This window comes from Homo sapiens, chromosome 9 (genome assembly GCF_000001405.40).
Source record: "Homo sapiens chromosome 9, GRCh38.p14 Primary Assembly".
Taxonomy (NCBI): Eukaryota; Metazoa; Chordata; class Mammalia; order Primates; family Hominidae; genus Homo; species Homo sapiens.
This window is the reverse complement of record NC_000009.12, coordinates 106895910-106918726: the sequence shown is the minus strand read 5'-3', so window position 1 is coordinate 106918726 and position 22817 is coordinate 106895910. Positions and strand designations below refer to the sequence as shown.

General features: G+C 38.2%; 1 protein-coding gene across 34 annotated transcripts in view, besides 1 other annotated feature; it reads right to left on the bottom strand.

The window, feature by feature from the left end:
• ZNF462 (zinc finger protein 462) overlaps positions 1–22817 on the bottom strand; it is a 153477-nt gene that overhangs the window by 94908 nt on the left and 35752 nt on the right. For 3 of the 34 annotated variants that reach the window (XM_017014997.3, XM_047423671.1, XM_047423678.1), the window contains exon 1: positions 12284–22817. This exon is cut by the window's right edge. The exons of 28 other annotated variants lie outside the window; for them this stretch is intronic. The gene's annotated coding sequence lies outside the window, so the exon portion shown is untranslated. Of the gene's footprint in view, positions 1–1623; positions 4895–6143; positions 8340–12283 lie in introns of those variants that run through there. 3 more of the 34 variants (XM_047423667.1, XM_047423666.1, XM_047423674.1) reach the window with 3 other exon arrangements.
• Positions 1417–2616: an enhancer, noted in NCBI's record as "BRD4-independent group 4 enhancer chr9:109678392-109679591 (GRCh37/hg19 assembly coordinates)". NCBI's record gives its function as "activates an origin of replication core promoter dependent on BRD2, P300/CBP, MED14 and CDK7 cofactors, and independent of BRD4, by STARR-seq in HCT116 cells {active_cell/tissue: HCT116}" and the evidence as "EXISTENCE:reporter gene assay evidence [ECO:0000049][PMID:35650434]".

The following is a 22817-nucleotide window of genomic DNA, read 5'->3' as shown; positions in this document are numbered from 1 at the left end:
CAGAAATTGTTGATATGCTGAGGTCAAAGATTTGTGATGTGTATTGGGAGATTAATATTTTCAGTTGCAAGCCCCAGGACCTTAAGATGAAAAATGATTTTTTTTAAAAAGGCACTAGTAAACTTATAAATGTTGGGTTGCTATTCTTAGCAACAAGGGAAGTTCTCTATCACTACTAATCATTTACACTTGTTATGGCTGAAGTGGAAGTTCTAATAATTTAATAATCATTTAAAGCATCTTTCCAAAGAGTAATGACCTGAAAAGTTGAGGTGAAATCTCTTTCAGGAACAGCAGTTATGGAATCAAATCTACAAATGCAAATATAGAATGTCTAAATATATATATCTATACACAAACACACATAATTATAGATATAATTAATGACATACAGATATATGTAATTAATTTTCTTGATTTAATTTTAACTCATATATGGGCATATGCCCTCCAAATTTAACAAGAGCTGGGGGCAGAATCAGTTCTTTTCTGAATAAATACAAATGACATCGGTACTATCTCCATGTTATAGTGTAAAACAATAAACCAGCAGGCAGGGCGTGGTGGCTCACGCCTGTAATTCCAGCACTTTGGGAGGCCGAGGTGGATGAATCAGGAGGTCAGGAGTTCGAGACCAGTCTGGTCAACATGGTGAAACCCTGTTTCTACTAAAAATAAAAAAAATTAGCCGGGTGTGGTGGTGGGCACCTGTAATCCCAGCTACTCAGGAGGCTGAGGCAGAGAATTGCTTGAACCCGGGAGAAGAAGGTTGCAGTGAGCCGAGATCGCGCCACTGCACTCCAGCCTGGGTGGCAGAGTGAGACTCTGTCACAAAATAAATAAATAAATAAATAAATAAATAAATAAATAAATAAATATAAAAAAATAATAAACCAGCAAAATAAACCAACAAGCAACTTCCAACAACAAGCTACCTCCAACAATCCCATAGCATTTGGTACTACTACAGATTCTGGCTCACCATGTAGTCTTCAAATGACCTATCAAATGTTTATACTTTTTGCTACATGATCTAAGCAGTTCTGTGTACTCTTGGCAATTCACCACACTAATGAAAGGTTTAACATATCAGGGAGGATAAATAATTAAGGAATTCAGAAGGGAGACACAGCTGTTCTTCAAAACCAAATTTTCAGAAGAGAAAGGATTAATTTGCAATCACATATGTAACCCCCAATATGAGACTGAAGTTAAATAGTAGCAGGGAAATACCATGAGATGAAGTCCTGCCAATGCATGTGGCCTCTGTTGTATACAGTTGGCCTGGTCCATCTGTGGGACCTTGTATATAAGCACAAAGTCTGAAGCAGGCAATTTGCAGATTAATAACCCAATCACCTACTGGCCAAGGATGCTAGCCTTCAGGTTACTTTTTATTTTAGGATCGCTCTCCTGCATAAAGTTTTCAAGTACTACAGAGTATGCTGGAGTACTATTTCTTAATAGATACCTTTGGAATCATCATTAAAATGAAATGAGCATCTAGGGATGTAATCCAAGTGGCTAAAAATGTTGGATATGTAAATAAGAAGTCATTCCGGCTGAGTGACCTGTTATGAAAGCAGGTAGTAAGTGTCTCATACAGAAAGAGATACTACATACCTTCTGGAGAATTCATGCATTCCTTTGCAATGATATAAGGCTAATTGAGGCCAACAGGCCAATAGGCAGTCTGCCAGCTCTCCTGTCCGTAGAAAAGGAAGCGTGTGATTTGAATAAGGAGATAAAAGAAGAGAAGGGACAAGAAAAGAAAGGGAGGAAGCAGGCTGATATCTCAGTAGCTTTAGACTTCATTGTCTGTAAAGGGGAACTTGCAGTTCACTGGATAATTCTAATTCTGAGAAGCGTCTTGACAATTTTCTTGAGATGTGGTTTAGAAACAAAACAAAACAAAATGAAGACGACTCCCCCTCAATGAAATTCTCAAAATGCAACCATGATAAATGAGATTCCAGCTCATCATGTCCTTTCAAATGATGGGAACCCATTCTTGGTGTCCTAAGAATGAGTAAGTGAGAAATAATAAGTATTGAGGAATTCTCTGAAATGTCATGGGTTCACCAGGAAGTTCCTTGGAAACTGCAGCTCTTCTTGCCCTTGTACTTAGAACAACAGATAACTGATTTCTCCCCCCCCAGAGCTAAACCTCGCCCAAACAGCAGAGACAGAAAATCACGGTGTTGCTTTATCGACTCTTCAGAATGCTGGCTGGGTTTCTACAGACACTTTTCACACAAGAACTCTCATTACAAAAATTGTAAAATTAAAGGGAAGTTGCAGATATGCTGCTGGGTCTTCATTACAGAACTGATTAAGACGCAGAGTAAGCAGAAGCTGCAGTACAAGTCATCTTCCACATCATGAAAGACCAAGACATGAATTGAGAACTTTCCCTGGGGGCTGGTCAGCCTGACTGACCTTGGGCCTTGGGTGCGTCTTCATGGCCCAAAGTGTTCGTGCCTCACAAGATTCAGCCAAACATACCAAGTCTCAATTTTACAGATTCAGTGAATGAATCCAGAAACCATTTTTAACAACTTACCTTGTTTTCTATTACTATGCAAAGAAAAAAAAAATGATGTATGGCCAGTGGCTTGCGGAGTGTGTGAGGAAGTTTTGCTGAAATAACTTCTTTTATCTGGGGGAAAATCTCAATCTAATCTCCCTGAGACTTGCTCACTTTTGTATGCTCATCATTTGCTCAAAAAATTCAGACAATTCACTTGCTTTAGACGAGAATGATTCTGAGCCTGCCTCCATCAGTGGCAGCCCCTGATGTAATAACCCTTCCAGTCTATTTTCTTATAGCAGACAAAACTGATTACCTAAGCCTGGCACCTGGATCTGCCTGTCTGTGTGTCTTTCTCCAAACCATGGTTTCTAATATAACTACCCTGTGAGGATAAAGTCCTAAACCCCTGCTTTCTGAAAAGGCAAACAGTGCCTGAGCCTATATAGACCGTAAATGCTTTCAAGTCCTCCTACTCAAGGGGACTGTGATTTTTTGTTTTCCTCTTCTTGACTTCTGCCTGTAGCAGAAGCCAACAGAAGGCTGTCCTTCTCTCTTATCAAACTAACCAACTGGCCCATTCAGATACATTAGTTTCCCCACCCTTGCTTCAACAAATTAATGCAACCTTATAGCAGGAGAAACATCCATATGTGTTTCTATATGGGACTGGAATATACTCCAAAATTAGAAATGTTCTAAAAATGAAAGCTAAGAAATTTCTTTTCTCTTGCAATCCCCAATCTACTTTTAGCAAGTAAGTTTATTCCTAAAACTTCTTACATCCCAAGAACTGAGCAGAAAGCTTAGACATTTGTCCACCAACACAACAGTAGACTTTATTACCAGGTGAAAACACTACAGTGCTCAGTTAAGGAGCCAAGCCTCGAATTCCATATATCCTTAATGATAAATCCCACTTTTGCCCAACAAAGTTAGGTTTTTCAGCATATCCACTGTTGAGCTGTTTTAAAAAAAAAAAGAAAAAAAAAAAACATACAGAAATGCCTATCCAGCCATTAAGGAATTTGTTCTCAGATCACTAAAACCAAAAAGCGACAGTAGGTATGATGTCTCTGCCTGCCATCTTCACCTTGAGAGCAAGTCTTTTGAGGCCCTTACTTTGATCATTTTGTTAAATGAAGAGATTAGATCATGACGTTCAACCTTTTTGTACAAAGGACCTGTTTTACAAGATTTTCTTCTCATATTTTCTAAGATTTTTTTTCCTGATTAAATTCATTCCCTTACATTTTATTATTCAGAGGCATATAAATGCCAATCTTCATGTGACTGCCTTCTTATAAATTAAATCCAGGGGCTTTCCTTGACAACTCTATCTTAGCCACCACTCCCAACCCTTACAAAATCTACAAAATTGAAACCCCTACTCACACCACCAACCCACACACAGTTTCTCTCTACCACAATCCACTACTTTATTTCCTTCACTATTGGCATGACCCTTGTTTGTTTGTGGTCTTTTCTTCCCACCAGAACACAAGTACCCTTAGAAGGAGTCTAGGTCTGTCTGGCTCTTCAGCCTTGGGAACACTCAGTGTACTCAACAGGTACTCAGAAATATACGCTGAATGAAGGAAGGAACAAATGAATGAACTAGAGCTTCTGAATGATAGGATTCCAACCAACCAACAGAGATTGGTCATGAGTGTTAGATGACTCTACTAACCCTGTGTTGTCATAAAGCAGTAGTCCCAACGAGCGGTAATTTTATTCCCCGCTTGCCCCAACTTGGGGCTGTTTGGCAGTATCTGCAGGCAGTTTTAGTTATCATACCCAGCATCTGTGGGTAAAGGCTATGGATACTGCTAAGCATTCTACAACGCACAGGACAGTCCCCACGACAAAGAATTATCTAGCTCCAAATGTCAATAGTGCTGAGACTGAAAACTTAATGATCTCCAGGTATTTTCGTTCTCTGCATATAACCCACCTGTCTTCAGAGGCCCTTTATGGGGTCCTGGCTGGGGAGTCTCTGGATCCTTAGAGGGTCAACAACCTGGGAGAGCCCAGGTCCAAGATTTTAGAATTGTGTGGTTCTAAATGATCTTAGCAGCCCTCATGCTATATGATATCATGATGAGTTTTCAGTTTTATTTTTCTAATTTGGGTATGTTACCAAAAATCTCTTCAGAAAAAAAAAAAAATCCTAGGCGAAGGCATGTGACTGGTCTGTCTTTCCTAGTGATACGGCCTTTGTATCCACCTTTGCACAGTTGATAATCCTGTGAGTTTTGTGAGTAAGGGGCAAATGTCATTAAAAATGGTCAAGTCAGCTGGGCACAGTGTCTCATGCCTGTAATCCTAGCACTTTGGGAGGCTGAGGCGGGCAGATCACTTGAGGTAAGGAGTTCGAGACCAGCCTAGCCAACATGGTAAAACCTCTTCTCTATTAAAAACACACACAAAAATTAGCCGGGCTTGGTGGCAGGTGCCTGTAATCCCAGCTACTCGGGAGGCTGAGGCAGGAAAACTGTTTGAGCCTGGGAGACAGAGGTTGCAGTGAGTCGAGATCATGCCACTGCACTCCAGCCTGGGTCACAGAATGAGATTGTCTCAAAAAAAAAAAAGTTAAGTCTTTAGCATGTGACCTCTGACTAAAATTTCTGTGAAAAACAATGCATATGTTCTCCTCTCCAATGTGTAAAATCATCTTCTTTCAAAGTGACAGGGCCCCAGGCTACTATAAGTCACTCTTCAGAGGACAAGTAATACGTTCTTTTTTATTCTTATATCCCCAGGGCCCGGCATAAGTCTGGCTCTGATGAGATTTGTGCTATGAGTACTAACTGTATGCAGGCCTGCTTTCCAGGAGAAAATTAACCAGTGGTACAAAATCGAACTAAACGTTCAAGAACCTAAGGAATTCCAGAGAGCATCCATGAACAGAAAAACAAAGCAAAACCTAGTGCTTATGAAGCTAATGAAGCCACATCACAGTGGTTAGCTGACTACTGAGACACTAGTAATTCTAAGTCTCCACTGGCAATTCTAAGTTTCCACTTGTCCATGAGTTTTAAGTAAATGACCATCCTCCTTTTCCTCATCATCCATGGAGAAGCTGCCTCTGGCTGCATTGTTCCACCTATGTGTTTATAACACCGCTAAGCTACCCTGAACTGATGTGACACCTGGAGTCATCACCTGACTACACTTGAGACCATTTGGTTGCCTTCCCTCCACAAAGCCTTTTTTATTCTTGTTTGCAAAGTATCCTGGAAAGCCAGAGGAACAATTCTGTCCTATAGCTCAAAACTGTATAAACATTTTCAGTGGAGGGAGTGTAACAAAATCAGGTAGAAACAGAATTTTTTCTTCTTAGCCTCCCTGAAAAATATTGAAATATTATTTGTGCCTTCCTTAAGTCAAAGAGAAGACTCTACTCTAAAAGTTAACCATCAATAGGTTCATCATGTCCAATGGAGAGGAGATCTTAAAGACCATATAGTCCAACCTGGTCCAACATCTTCATTTTCCAGAGAGTGAAACTGAAGTCTCAAGAAAAATAACCTGCCCAAGCCTTCTGGCACATGCATTTTCTGAAGCCAGAAAAAAAATCTTTTGAATTTCATAATTTGAGACAGGAACTCACAAGTAAAGACATTCCATACGTGTCAGTTGTTCAACAGTATTCACACTTAAGGTCCATGCCCCGTATATTCTCAGTAATGAGTCTTCATCAGGAAGGCAGATTTCAGAATAACCACAAGTGTCTCCTCTACTCTGAATCCACACCCAGGAGAGTAACTGAAAAGGTACAAAATCCATTTTTTTGCAGATTGACTATTCAAAGAACTTCTTAGGCATGCAAGCAGTGTGTTTATACTTTGGAAACATGTTTGGAAGACTGAAAGTTGCTGACAAAGGTATACACAGAAGAACAAGAGCTATAACACTGAATTATCTTTAGAATCCAACCTCATGGAGTCGGAACAATGTTATGTAGTAGCTTTATGCCTGCCAAATCTACCCCACGAGAAACATCATCTTGTTTCTTATGGAAAATGTGCACTGCCAACAAAGTCACTGAAGAGGCTAGCTGAACGAGCCTTAGGAGGATCTGGACATAGCAGGGTCGGTTCATGTAAAATGGAAAGGAAAGGAGTAGTCAGCCTTACGAATGTCTGTCAAAAAAGCCAGCCTCTTTGTGGAACATCTAGTGAATGACTCAGACTAATGATACCAGAATATTGTTCATACTGGATTTCGCTTCAAATTATATACTGCATTCTGAAACCAACTTGGAATATTTTTCTCTCTTTACTAATATATTAATTTATCTTTATCCATTCTTTATTTATCTAACTTTATTCCTAGAGGGTATCTATATCCATTTGTTGGATATAAAAAAATCTAAATGTATCAGAAAGTCTGGGAATCATCTTTAACTTTTAAACTATCTTCCCTAAGGGTCTCTTAGAAAAGCCTGTTATCATTCTGAAGAGAATAGCTTAGAAAATCAGGAAGATGTTGAGATCTCTATGTTTGTTCACGGTTTTCCTCCATGTAGAACACTTTTACCTGCTTTTGGAAGGTCTAAGTAATTCCCATCCTTTACGACAGTGGTTCTCAAAGTCTAATCCCTGGACCAGCAGCATCAGCATCACCAAAGAACTTGTTAGAAATGCAAATTATTGAGTTCCACCCAAGACTTGAATCAGAAACTCTGGTGTTGAGGTCCAGTAATTTTTTTTTACATATTCTCAGGGTGATTCTGAGGCCCAAGCAAGTTTTAAGACCAAGCTCAAGTTTTCCTTCCTGTATGAAACAGTCCCTGAGACCACCAGCTAGAACAGTGAGCATTCCTTGCTCCACTGCATTGGAGCCCTATTTTAAAATGCTGCCGACTGGATGAATGCAATAATAGCTACACAGTCCTTGAAGAGCACAGGAGACAACTACTGTTTGCAAATATTTAACTTCTTATATAGCAATTAATGAGAAAATACTAAGTTGCAGAACCAGCATCAGAAACTAACATGAGTACACTCATAAAAGACAATTACTGGTCTTGAAAGAATGAAGACTGTGGCTACTTCAAGTGCTGATACTGATACCTACCTCCCTTAAAAACTTCAGAAGGGTTCATGACACAGTGTCCTTGATATTTCTAAAGCAGGACATGGATCCACAAAGGAAAGAATCAGAGTATTTTACCTAGAAAATACTAAGAGTTGGGTAAATCCTCAGGATCCCAGACTCTTCCATGACATGACGCTTTCGTGATAAATAAAATCTTATTAGAAAATACCTCCAAGCTTAGAGTGGTCATTTGATTGTTGCCCTAAAGCTATATTGCAGGGCTAAACTCTCAGTTAAGAACCAACATCTGAAGACAAAGATGTGTCTGGAAATCTCTCAAAAGAAGGATATATGCTTTAGGCTAACCAAAGAAACTTCCAGAAAAAAATGGTGGCTAATTGTCTCACACTGCTAACAAAGGCTTGGCTGGGGAAAAAGAAAGACAAAACATAGACAAAGAAAAAAAGAGTTTGGCCACACCAAACCCATAAACTGACAGGACCCTTGAATCAAAAGCAAGACTTAAAACTTAGAATCATGAAGTTCAGAGAGAAAAATTCAACTGTGTCCTGCCCAGGAACCTAGCCAGAACCCTTTTAAACTGCTGAAGGACTACTGAAGCAAGTCAAGCCATCAAGACACAAACTCAGGTTCTAAAAGCAGAATTAAGCAAGGCTTGAGGAGGGGATTTAAAGAGATGTTTCTCTCATTTTTTGAGGGCCAAGAAAAAGTTCTGCTAGTTATGCCTCGAAGACAAATGAGTTATTAAAAAAAAAAAAAAAAAAAAAAAACTAAAACAAGGGGTGGAGGACGACAGAAAAATGTAGCATGGAAACGACCCATGAAAAAATCTATTTTGGAGGAACAGGACACAGAAGAAAATTATATACAACAATTAACAGAGATTCTATGAAAGAAGAGATCAAAGACAAGATGACAAGACATCAGCACAAGATGAAAGAGAGGCTGGCAGTTGAAGAAAGAAAATGATGACAAAAATAATATCATTGCAGAAGTAATAAATATATTAAAGTTATAAGAGGCAAAATCCACAAATCAAAAACAATGTTGATGATGTGGAAAACAGTCTTCAAAAAACTGCACAAAATGCAGAGGAAAAGGACAAGTAGATGAAAGCAAGTGGAGAAGATGACAGATAAGAAGGTTTGAAAACAGATCGAACATACAGATAAAAGGTTTCGTAGAAGTAGACAGCAAAACAAAACAAAGCAAAACAAAATATGCTTAAATCTGTGGTAGAAAATACTTAGTTGAAATAAAAGAGTATCTGTTATTCCAAGAAAAAGTAAGACTGAATCAGTAAAATGGAAACATCTTGGTGAGGTTACAGAATTTCAAGGCTAAACATTGAATCCTATATACATCAAGACCTTTAACAATTAGTCAATTATAACAGAAAAAGTCAGGTGTCCTCTGACTTTTTCACAGTAACATTTGATGACAGAAAAAAAGTGAAGCTGTGTCTGTAGAGGCTCAAGAAAGAGAGAACAATACCGAAGTATTCAATTCCCAACTAAGTTCACAACCAGTTTTTTAAATATATAAAAGTAATAAAAAATGATTTTCTAATCAGCATAGTCAGAGAATGCAGCATGTAAGTAACTTTTCTTCAAAATACAACCAACGGAAGGTTCAAAATCAAGATCTCAAGAATAGGTAATTTAGAGGTAAGCAGAAGCTGTGAGCATTGAATCCACTTACATTTAGAACTAAAATTGAATAATTGATAATACTTACAAAATAAAATTATAATTCCTTAAATGTAGTGGTTATAACAATAAATAATTCCGTAACAATAACTATAAAAGTATGTAGAATTGGAAAAAAAACTTAACCATAATAAAATACACAGATGGAAGTGAAAAAGCTTTAGAGGATAAATATTAACGGGCCTGTAATCCCAGCACTCTGGGATGCAGAAGCAAGTGGATCATTTGAGGTCAGGAGTTCAAGACCAGTCTGGCCAACATGGTGAAACCCATCTCTACTAAAAATACAAAAATTAGCCAGGTGGTAGTGGCATGTGCCTATAATCCCAGCTGCTCGGGAGGCTGAGACAGGAGAATTGCTTGAGCCTGGGAGGCAGAGGTTGCAGTGAGCCGAGATCATGTCACTGCACTCTTGTCTGGGTGATAGAGTGAGACCCAGTCTCAAAAAAAAAAAAAAAAAAAAAAAAAAAAAAAAAAAAAAATATATATATATATATATATATATATATATATGTATATATGGGCAAATATTCTCAACTTTCACAGCAGGACAGAAATACTCATACTATTTCATTTCTGAAGTTAACAAATTTCCAAATAAAGGTGTAAGAACATTAATTTAATCAGTAATAAAAATAAAAACAGACTATAGCTTTGAATTACTAGAGGAAAGAACTCAAAGAAAATGCAGATTATATAATAAAATGAAGAGGACAAAGGAAATTGCACAGAAATATAAAAGAGAATGCATAAAATTAATTAGAATTAGGTATATGTGATATATCAATAAATGTGAATTGGATAATTCTTCCTCTGGAAAATATCCCCAGAGTAAATTGAAAAACAATCTCTAACTGGATTCTGTCTGTAAGAGACACATATATAGTAAAATGATACAAAAAGTTTGAAAATCTAATATCATTAAACATATACCAAGCAAAAGAAGGAAGAAATCATGATTAATGTTATTCATGGTTAAATTCAAGATACAAAAGCTTTTAACATGATAGAGATGAACACTTAATAATGTAAAAGTACAATCCACAATGGAGATTTATTATGAATATTTCTGCTCTCTAGCAGCACCAAATAAATAAAGAAATAAAGATGGCAACAGATACAAGAAATAGGCATAAGCACTTAACAGATTAATTGGAGAAAGACCACCAAGGATAAAATTCATGTAATTCATAGAACTGAGTTAAGAGGTACATTTCATATTCTATATCTGGAAATAGAAAACATATTTTCATTTCAAGTATCTGTGAGACATCTACAAAAGTTTTCAAGTGCCCGTGGAGGTTTATAGAAGTCTTTAATGCCACAATTAAGAGATAATACATTACAAATTTAAAAAATAGTACACAATTTCTACTTACAGTGAAATAAAGGTATGTTAAAAAAAAGAAAAAAAGAAAAATCCCAAACATTTGAGAAAATTTTTTAACATTCTCCTAAGTAATTTCTGGGGTAACCAGAAATAAAAACTCACCAGTAGAGTATGACTTTTAAAATGCTATGTATTTAAATATGGAATCTGGTAAAAGCAATACTTAGAGGAAATTTCACAGATCTATGAAAATTATAAAGCAAGAAATAATAATACTAAATGAATCAAACATCTAACTCAAGTACAGGGGGAAATGGAAAGACAGAAGAAGAAAAGTCGAAGAAAAGATTTGACTACATTAAAAACAAACTCAGGAATCAATATATTACATCATAAGGTAATTTCCTCAGTAACTTTTATTTTTTAAAAATATGCTATATAAAATTAATTTAAAACAATTAGCTAGCCTAATTAACAACAAAAAGGGAGTAGGGCAAAACATAAATATAGAAAATAAGTATAAGAAGTAGACACTATCCAAAAATGTAAAGGAAAATGTATTATAATTTTAAAATTACCATGTAAAACTCATGGCAATATATGTAAAACTAATGTAATGTGTCTAGAAACACATATATTACCAAAATTAATCCAAGAAGAAACAATATCAATGAAAGACTAGCAAACAGTCAAATAGCCAACCTAATCACCAAAACATCTTAAGTGACATTAAGGAATCAGTAAATCAGATGCTTTTTAAACTGGTCTAAAGTCTCAAGCACAAGATTGTTACCAATGTATTTCCAAATCCAGTGTGACACAGATTACAGAGCTTAGTCCACAATAAATACTAGTAAAAAGCAGAAAAATGTCACTTAGAAATATTGAGGCAGAAATTCAAAATAAAATCCAGGAGCTCATTAAACAAATATCCCTCCAAGATCAAGTAGGGTTGACTGAGAAAAGTCAATTTCAATACAGGAAAATCTATCAACACTCCACTATATTAAAATGTCAAAAAAGAAAATAATAATTTTATCAGTACCAAAGAGGCTGAAGAGCACTTGATGCAATTCAAGATAAACTCAGTGTTATACTTAATGATGAAACATTAGAAAAATTAAAGTAAAAAACCAGACAAGGATTATCACTGGTAGTTAGCATTGTTGTGGAAATGCTAGCCAATGCATTTGTACAAGAAAACAAAGTAAGAGAAACAACTACTAGAAAAGAGGAGATAAAGTTTTCAAAATTTACAAATAAGGTAAATTATCTAGGCGTGGGCCCAAGTGAATAACACTTTCATTTTCTACTTAATGATGTGAAAAATTTTCAACAAATTTCAACACGTTAAACATTTAAAAATAATCATCAAATGTAAAACAACTGGGGTGACTGATAAAGTACTAGTTATCAATAAACTCAACTTTCTTATTTCAGATTACTAAGAATGTTGACTCTTCTGCTGACAATGACATTCTTTTTTTCCACCCTGTCTGGGATTCTTGAATGACTACTTCTAAATCAATAACCTCAGACAATCCATATTCAGTGATTTTAGAAACTCCAGCCTTAAGGTTATGAAGATAATTTTTGGTGATTATATCTTTATATCATCAATTCTCAATCAACACATTGCTCTACCCATACCTTTAAAGGAAAAGCAGGGATCTCTGTTATCACGGCAGAAGGGAGGCAGGAATAGATTGTAGCTCCAGGCAGAGCAGCATGCGGAGGCTTGCATTGTGAATTTTAGCTCCAGATTGACTGCAAGAACAAACCAGCAATCCCAAGAGGACCCCACAGGCCCTCTGAAAAGAGCAGACTGCTCCTGCAGGACCCAGGAGACACTGCAAATACTGTGAGTGCCCCAGCTGCAGAAATGGGAAAGGGAGACCCTCCTCTCCCAAACACACACCCCCCACTGGAGAAGCTGAAGGTCTGTTTGCAGAAGTTTCCGACTTTACCTGGAGCTGAGTCAAGTTAGAGAGCCAAGTGAAATACAGGGGTAGAGGAAGCAGCAGGAAGGCCCTGGGATCTCACTGGGTCCCCAAGCGGCCCATTCCTGCCTGGCATCACAGGGATCCATTGGGAGGGTGGCCAGAGGAGCAGGGGGTAAAACTCCACAGGGAGAAGGAACTCTGTAGCTGAACTTTGTAACAATTTAAACGTGGTGAGAAGCCTCCTGGCCAGAACTCCGGGGAGGGCATAAATCCGGCGTGCAGACTACACAGGTGTGGAAGAACTAAAACTCTTTTTTCTCGCAGCTGGGAGGTGCGTAGCCTCAGAGAAATTTTCAAGCCCATCTCGCCCTCCACCTGGAAACAGACTCGGGGCTGTTGCGGGGGTCACGGTGAGAGTGAGACCAGCCCTTCATGACTGCTGGCTTTCCCCCACTTCCCTGACAACCTGTACGACTCAGCAGAGGCAGCCATAATCCTCCTAGGTACACAACTCCAGTGACCTGGGAATCTCACCCTCATCTCCCACAGCAGCCGCAGCAAGACCTGCCCAAGGAGAGTCTAAGCTCAGACACATCTCTCCCCACCCTACCTGATGGTCCTTCCCTACCCACCCTAGTAGTGGAAGACAAAGGGCATATAATCTTGGGGATTCTAGGGCCCCGCCCACCTCTGGTCTCTCTCCACACTACTATAGCTGACAGTTTTTAGAAAGTGCCACCTCCTGGCAGGAGGCCAATGAGCACAAAAATAGACCATTAAATCACCAAAGCTAAGGACCCTCAGAGAGTCCATTGCACACTCTGCCACCTCCACCAGAACAGGTGCTGGTATCCATGGCTGAGAGACCCCTTAGACAATTCACATCACAGGACTCTGTGCAGAAACCCCCAACCAGCCTGTTGCTGGGTGGACTCGCTGGGTAGCTAGACCCAGAAGAGAGATAACAATCACTGAAGTTTGGCTCATAGGAAGCCACATCCATAGGAAAAGGGGGAGAGTACTACACATCAAGGGAACACCCCTTGGGACAAAAGAATCTGAACAACAGTCTTCAGCCATAGACCTTCCCTCTGACAGAGCCTACCCAAATGAGAAGAAACCAGAAAACCAACCCTGGTAATATGACAAAACAAGGCTCTTCAACACCCCCCCACAAAAAAATCACACTAGTTCACCAGCAATGGATCCAAACCAAGAAGAAATCCCTGATTTATCTGAAAAAGAATTCAGGAGGTTAGTTATTAAGCTAATCAGGGCGAGACCAGAGAAAGGTAAAGCCCAATGCAAGGAAGTCCAAAAAATGATACAAGAAGAGAAGGGAGAGATATTCATGGAAACAGATAGCTTAAAGAAAAAAAACAATCAAAAATTCAGAAAACTTTGGACACACTTTTAGAAATGCAAAATGCTCTGTAAAGTCTCAGCAGAAGAAAGAAATTCAGAGCTTGAAGATAAGGTCTTCAAATTAACCCAATCCAACAAAGACAAAGAAAAAGAATAAGAAAATATGAACAAAACATCCAAGAAGTCTGGGGTTATGCTAAATGACCAAACCTAAGAATAATCAGTGTACCTGAGGAAGAAGAGAATTCTGAAAGCCTAGAAAACATATCGGGGGGAATAATTGAGGAAAACTTCCCCAGCCTTGTGAGAGACCTAGACAGCCAAATATAGGAAGCACAAAGAACACCTGGGAAATTCATTGCAAAAAGATCTTCACCTAGGCACACTGTCATCAAGTTATCCAAAGTTAAGACAAAGGAAAGAATCTTAAGAGCTGTGAGACAGAAGCACCAGGTAACCTATAAAGGAAAACCTATCAGATTAACAGAAGATTTCTCAGCAGAAACCCTACAAGCTAGAAGGGATTGGGGACCTATCTTCACTCTCCTCAAACAAAACAATTATCAGCAAAGAATTTTGTATCCCCCAAAACTAAGCATAATATATGAAGGAAAGATACACTTGTTTTCAGACAAACAAATGCTGGGAGAATTCGCCATTACCAAACCACCACTACGAGAACTGCTAAAAGGAACTCTAAATCTTAAACCCTGGAAACACATCAAAACAGAATCTCTTTAAAACATAAATCACACAGGACCTATAAAACAAAAATACAAGTTAAAAAACAAAAACAAAAAACCAAAGTACACAGGCAACAATGAGCATGATGAAAGCAATGGTACCTCACATTTCAATACTGATATTGAATGTAAATGGCCTAAATGCTCCACTTAAAAGATACAGAACCACAGAATATATAAGAAGTCACCAACCAACTATCTGCTGCCTTCAGGAGACTCAACTAACACATAAGGACTTACATAAATTTAAAGGGGTGGAAAAAGGCATTTCATGCAAATGGACACCAAAAGTGAGCAGGGGTAACTATTCTTATATCAGACAAAACAAACTTTAAAGCAACAGTGGTTAAAGGAGACAAAGAGGGACAGTATACAATGGTAAAAGGCCTTGTCTAACAGGAAAATATCACAATTGTGAACATATATGCACCTAACACTGCAGCTCCCAAATTTATAAAATAATTACTAATAGACCTAAGAAATGAGATAACAACACAATAATAGTGGGGGCTTCAATATTACACTGACAGTACTAGACAGGTCATCAAGATAGGAAGTCAACAAAGAAACAGTGGATTTAAACTATACCTTGGAACAAATGGACTTAACAGATATATACAAAACACTTCATCCAACAACTGCAGAATACACATTCCATTCACCAGCACATGGAATGTTCTCCAAGATAGACCATATGATAGGCCACAAAATGAGCCTCAATAAATTTCAGAAAATTAAAATTATTTTAAGCACTCTCTCAGACCACAGTGGAATAAAACTGGAAAGCAATTCCAAAAGGAACCTTCCAAACCATGAAAATACATGGAAATTAAATAATCTGGTCCTGAATGAACATTGGGTCAAAAATGACATCAAGATGGAAATTTAAAAATTCTTCGAACTTAATGACACAACCTATCAAAACCTCTGGGACAAAGCAAAGGTGGTGCTAAGAGGAAAATTCATAGCTCTAAATGCCTACATCTACATCAAAAAGTCTGAAAGGGCACAAACAGACAATCTAAGGTCACACCTCAAGGAAACAGATAAATAAGAATAAACCAAACCCAAACCCAGCAGAAGGGAGGAAATAACCAAGATCAGGGCAAAACTAAATGAAATTCAAACAAACAAACAAAAAAAACACAAAAGATAAATGAAACAAAAGCTGGTTCTTTGAGAAGATAAATAAAATTGATAGACCATTAGCAAAATTAACCAAGAAAAGAAGAGAGAAAATCCAAATAACCTCACTAAGAAACAAAACAGGTGATATTACATCTGATACCACAGAAATACAAAAAGATCATTCAAGGTTACTATGAACATCTTTATGCACATAAACTAGAAAACCTAGGAGAGATGGATAAATTCCTGGAAAAATACAACCCTCCCAGCTTAAATCAGGAAGAATTAGGTACCCTGAACAGACCAATAACAAGCAGTGAGATTGAAATGATAAATTAAAAAATTACCAACAAAAAAAGTCCAGGACCAGATGGATTCACAGCAGAATTCTACGAGACATTCAAAAAAGAATTTGTACCAGTCCTTTTGACACTATTCCACAAGACAGAGAGAGAGAGAGAACCCTCCCTAATTCATTCTATGAATCCAGCAGCACTCTAATACCAAAACCAGGAAACGACATAACCACAGAAGAAAACTACAGACCAATATCCTTGATGAATATAGATGCTAAAATCCTTAACAAAATACTAGCTAACCAAATTCAACAACATATCAAAAAGATAATCCACCATGATCAAGTGGGTTTCATACCAGGGATGCAGGGATGGTTTAACATACATGAGTCAATAAATGTGATACACCACATAAACAGAATTAAAAATAAAAAATCACATGATCATCTCAATAGAGGCAGAAAAAGCATTCGACAAAATCCAGCATCCCTTTATGATTAAAACGCTTGGCAAAATCAGCATACGAGAGACATACCTTAATGTAATAAAAGCCATCTATGACAAACCCACAGCCAGCATAATACTGAATGGGGAAAGTTGAAAGCTCTCCCTCTGAGAACTGGAACAAGACAAGGATGTCCACTCTCACCACTCCACTTCAACACAGTGTTGAAAGTTCTAGCGAGAGCAATCAGACAATAGAAAGAAATAAAAGGCATCCAAATCGGTAAAGAGGAAGCCAAACTGTCACTGTTTGTTTGCTGACAATAGGATTGTTTACCTTGAAAACCCTAAGAACTCCTCCAGAAATCTCCTAGAACTGATAAAAGAATTCAGCAAAGTTTCTAGATACAGCATTAATGTACACAAATTAGCTCTTCTGGACACCAACAGCAGCCAAGCAGAGAATCAAATCAAGAACTCAACCCCTTTTACAATAGCTGCAAAAAATAAAATAAGTACTTAGGAATATACCTAACCAAGGAGGCAAAACACCCCTACAAGGAAAACTAGAAAACATTGCTGAAAGAAATTATAGATGACACAAACAAAAGGAAACACATCCCATGCTCATGGATGGGTAGAATCAATATTGTGAAAATGACCATACTGCCAAAAGCAATGTACAAATTCAATGCAATCTCCGTCAGAATACCACCATCATTCTTCACAGAATTAGAAAAAACAATTCTAAAATTCATATGGAACCAAAAAATAGCCCACATAGCCAAAGGAAGACTAAGCAAAAGAACAAATCTAGAGGCATCACACTACCTGATTTCAAACTATACTGTAAGGGCATAGTCACCAAAACAGCATGGTACTGGTATAAAAATAGGCACGTATACCAGTGGAAGAGAATAGAGAACCCAGAAATAATCCCAAATACTTACAGCCAACTGATCTTCAACAAAGCAAACAAAAACATAAAGTGGGGAAAGAACATCCTTTTCAACAAATGGTTGAAATTTGTTGAAATTATCCAATTAGCCAATTACTGGGATAACTGGTTAGCCACTTGTAGGAGAATGAAACTGGATCATCTCTTACTTTATACAAAAATCAACTCAAGATGGATTAAAGACTTAAATCTAAGACCTGAAACTATAAAAATTTTAGAAGATAACATTGGAAAAATCCTTCTAGACATTGGCTTATGCAAAGATTTCATGACCAAGAAGCCAAAAGGAAGTGCAATACAAACAAAGATAAATCGCTGGGACCTAATTAAAGTAAAGAGCTTTTGCACAGCAAAAGGAAGAGTCAGCAAAGTAAACAGACAACCCACAGAGTAGGAGAAAAATCATCCACAATCTATACATCTGGCAAAAGACTAATATCCAGAAACTACAACAAATTCAAACAAATCAGTAAGAAAACAACAATCCCATCAAAAAGTAGGTGAAGGACATGAATAGCCAATTCTCAAAAGAAGAGATACAAATGGCCAACAAACATGAAAAAATGCTCAACATCACTAATGATCAGGGAAATGCAAATTAAAACCACAATGCAATGCCATCTTACTCCTGCAAGAATGGCCATAATCAAAAAATCAAAAAACAGTAGATGTTGGCATGGATGCGGTGAACAGAGAACACTTCTACACTGCTGGTGGGAACTAAACTAGTACAACCACTGTGGAAAACAGTGTAACAGTGTGGAGATCCTTAAAGAGCTAAAAGTAGAACTACCATTTGATCCAGCAATCCCACTACTGGGTATCTACCCAGAGGAAATGAAGTCATTATTCGAAAAAGATACTTGCACACCCATGTTTATAGCAGCACAATTCACAATTGCAAAATCTTGGAACCAACCCAGATGCCCATCAATCAACGAGTGGATTAAAAAACTGTGAGATACACACACACACACACACACACACACACACACACACACACACACACACACGATGGAATACTATGCAGCCATAAAAAGGAATGAATTAACAGCATTTGCAGTGACCTGGATAAGACTGGAGACTATTATTCTAAGTGATTAACTCAGGAATGGAAAACCAAACATCGTATGTTCTCACTGATATTTGGGAGCTAAGCTATGAAGACACAAAGGCATAAAAACAATACAATGGACTTTGGGGACTTGGGGGGAAGAGTGGGAGGGGGGCAAGAGATAAAAGACTACAAATATGGTGCAGTGTATATGTGGGTGATGGGTGCACCAAAATGTCACACGTCACCACTAAAGAACTTACTCATGTAACCAAATGCCACCTGTACCCCAATAACTTATGGAAAAGTAAAACAATTAAATAAAATTAAAATTAAAAAAAAAGAAAAGCCACACTATCTCCTCCTAAAGGAATTTAAGCAGGTGGAGGGAAACCTGAGAATGAGCTGTTGTTATGCAACCCAGTCCTTTGCCTTTCCCACATAACCATCTGAAAAAAATGTCAACTCTGGAACAATCTTAAATGAGTGTTTTCTCCCAAATTCTTTTTGCATATCCTCAGATTGGTGTCCCTGCAAATTCATGGTCTCAACTCCACCCAGTAATCTGATGTTCACATAGTTAAGTCTGTCTCCCATTGCTCACTGTGTCTAACTGAGAAGAGGAGGAGGATTCCATTTTCTCTCAGGGTTTCCCTTCCTCATCTGCACAGACACCTATCTTTTCTCTCTTATCCTCGTGCCACAATGGAAGTGGCGCTCCCATGTCCCATCATCTAAGGCTGATTCCTTAACTTGAGCTCTTGAGTCAGTCCTCACTGCCTCATCTGCGAGATGGTCTGATAGTTATCCTTTCTGCATTTTCAATTTATCTTTGACTACTAGCTAAGTCATCCCCACCTTAAACTCTCACCCATCTAGGGGAGAAAACACACATGCATGCATGCACACACCCCCCCCCCCCCACACACACACACATACACACACATTCTCTCTCTCTCTCTCTCTCTCCATGTCCCTCTGGCCTAACTTCTTCTCTAGGGAAATTATAGGTAAGAGTCAAAGAGGCCTGAGGTTGAATCCCGACTCTATGATTTATTAGCTACATGAATCCTTGACAAACTATTTAAATTCTCCAAACCTCTGTTTCCTCATCCATACCAAGTAATCCATATATCACAGGGTTGTGTAGAATAATCTGGATAAGGAACATAAAGCATTTGGCATAGTTTCTGGCATATACAAAAACTTAACTACAATTGCCATTGTTATCATTAATTCCTCCTTTTCACAAACTGCTTTCATGTTCCTTACTTCTCCTTCAGTCTTCTACATCTGGCTTTTGTAACTCTGATTCTGCTAAACCAAATTCATCATGGTCAGCAACAACCTTCTTAGGAGCAATAATAGGATACTTTTGCTTCTAAACCATACAAAACCATTGTTTCTGTACCATTCTCCATCATGGCAAACTCTTCCTCCAAATAACTCCCTTTCCTGGACACCTATGACTCTCTCCACCCTGACCTCCTCCCCCAGCACCACCAATTTGTATTCATCCCTCAATCTCAACTTACAGGAGGGTTTCTCAAACTCGGGGTGCTATTCCCATTTGAAGCCTGATAATTATTGTGAGAGGCTGTCCTGGGCATTGTAGGATATTTAGCAGTATCCCTGACATCCCCACTAGATGCTGGTAGCATCTTCCCTCATCCCCAGTAGTGACAACCAACAGTGCTTCAACTGTCTCTCTGGAGACACTACCAAATGACCCCCCCTCCACCTCCAGAAGGGTTAGCACAAAATCATACCCAATTGAGTACCACTTTCTCTAGAAGGCCTTTCCTGGCACCTCAAGGCTGGGGTAGACCCTTCCTAGGGACCCCTGAATCTCCCAAACATTTTCACACAGCACCATCCACTTAGTTGTCTCTTTCCCCACAGCGCATTGTGAGTTTCTTGAAAGCAGGGACTGTGTTCTGTTCTGTTCAAACCCATCTCCAGGCAGAGTCCAGAACCCATACATTGTTCTTCCTCTATTTGGAGTTCTTCCTCCAAATGTTATTATAAGACTTAGTTTAATAACAAAGTTTCAAGAGAGGACTCCATGCACATTAAATATAAACTGATGATAACATGCATCCCTTTTGAGAAATGTATAAATGTGGGGAAAAGTGCAACTTAGCACTGACGAAATAAGGAATTACACATTTGCTAATGCTGAGGAACTGCAAGGCTGTATGTTTGTAGGGGGAGGGAGAGGGCTGGTGGAGAAGCTGAGGATCAGAATTAGAGCACGGCTTTAGCCTCAGTCCCATATGGCCATGAGCTAGGGACTGGCTTGTGGCTGGAGGCGAATCCATGGATCAGCAGGGCCCTGCTGCTGGCCTCTTTCCCTCTCTATTCTCCTTCCCTAATCTCAATGCCATCCTTGTCTTAAGACTGTCTAGCAGATCTGGCATTTTCAAACTTAAGGATACTTCTACCTTTGTCTTCCTTTTCTCATATCCTTGTGCATATTATATTACTGTGCTCCTTATTCTGTCCCTGCCTCTGGCAATGAACTTCAGACAAAGAGGAGTGCCCTTACAAAACATAATTTTTACTCATAAAACATTACTACATTCCAGAAGACTGGTGTATTTAGGGGATGAGAAGCATCACAACTGAAAAGAACTGGTCTCCAAATAGTTTATTTCCATGGAATTACTAAAAAAAAAAAGTAAGTCTTCAAAGATCGACATATTAAAGTAGAATGAGGTCACTGATGGCAAAAGTTCAACAGTGTAGACAAAGTTATCTTGTCACCAAAGCTAAGAACCCCAGGCATCTAGTTCTTTTTCCTGCATACCAAAACCTGTACTAAGGGAATTCTTAGGGGAAGTGTTCTTTCATGTTTATAGTTAAGTGAAAAAATAAGTTGCAAAACATAATACATAATCTGTTTCTACTCAAATACTGATAATAATAATATGATGCAAATATATAAATATAGAAAAATGACCAGAAGCCATATACCCTAAACTTTTACTGGTGAAGTTTTCTCTGAAAGGGAGGTTGAAAAGAAGTTTTACTTTTTCTGAATTCCAACTTCTATAATGTTTGTGTGATTTTTATTAGTATGTGGGTTTCACAAGTTGGAATTTTTGTCTGTTTGTTTAAATGTTTTCAGAGAAATCAGAAAACAAATTAAATAGTTTCTCTCAAAAAATCCCCAGGTTCATGAATGGTTGGCCAACAAGTCAGCCCACATTTTAGGGAATGTGTGGGTGTGTGATCACTTTGGTGTTTAAATACTTAATATGAATCCACAAAATAATGTTGGCACGTGAAGAAAAGAGGCACAGCCAAGACTGACCACAGAACATTAACTGCCTATTAGCAAGTGGACCAAATGTCAATGCCTTGTGATCTGTCTTCATAAACTTCAGACAGGAGCAGGTGTATCCTATACAAGAGACAGCAAGGTTTAGCAGAAACACATATTTGAACAAAATATTTCATCAATCAGTCGACCTCACTGATCTAATGTTCAATTTCGTTCTAGGAGGCCCTAAGGAGGACACAGGTTCTGTCCTCAGGGGATTATATACTTTACCTTCTATCCCCCAAACACAAATAAACATCTTAAATGTCACTCCAGGAAATATTAGAAGCAATATAACCCATTACCTTCTGGAGCTATATGGACTACTAGCCATGACCACCTCATCCTGCAACCGAGATTAGGTGGGAAATCTGAGACGCCATGAGGTTGAGTCTGGCTTAGAAGTGTCCTGTCATTGCTAAGGTCCACTCTACCTCACATCTAGACTGGTGAAGAGGGAATCATTGATCTGAAGCTCTCTGCCCTCATTTTTTAAAAAAATCATTTTCGATTGAGCCAAAAACAAATATTTATTGACCAGCTGCCACATGCCAGCACCATCCACTAACTAAACATTTGAGTGCCTACTACGTAGCTAGTATGGTTCTAGACGTGAGAGAAAAACAAAAACAATGAGGGGGACAGAAGGCTGGTATAAGGCATGTTCTTTCTCATGGAAGTTAAAAATATAGTTGGGATGAGACTAACATTAAAAAAATCAGACAATGAAGAATTCCAAACACTCTATAATAAGGCATAGATTGTTATGGTACAGTTTCCAAGTAAAGAGATGGAGAGGGCAGTTATGATTAGACCATTGGGAAAGAAAAGGACATGATTTAAGGCTAGAAAGGGCGGGTTAGATAATGAATGTTCTTGTTTTTTTTGCATTGCATTTCTTCTCATAAGTAAATAAAACCAGGATGTA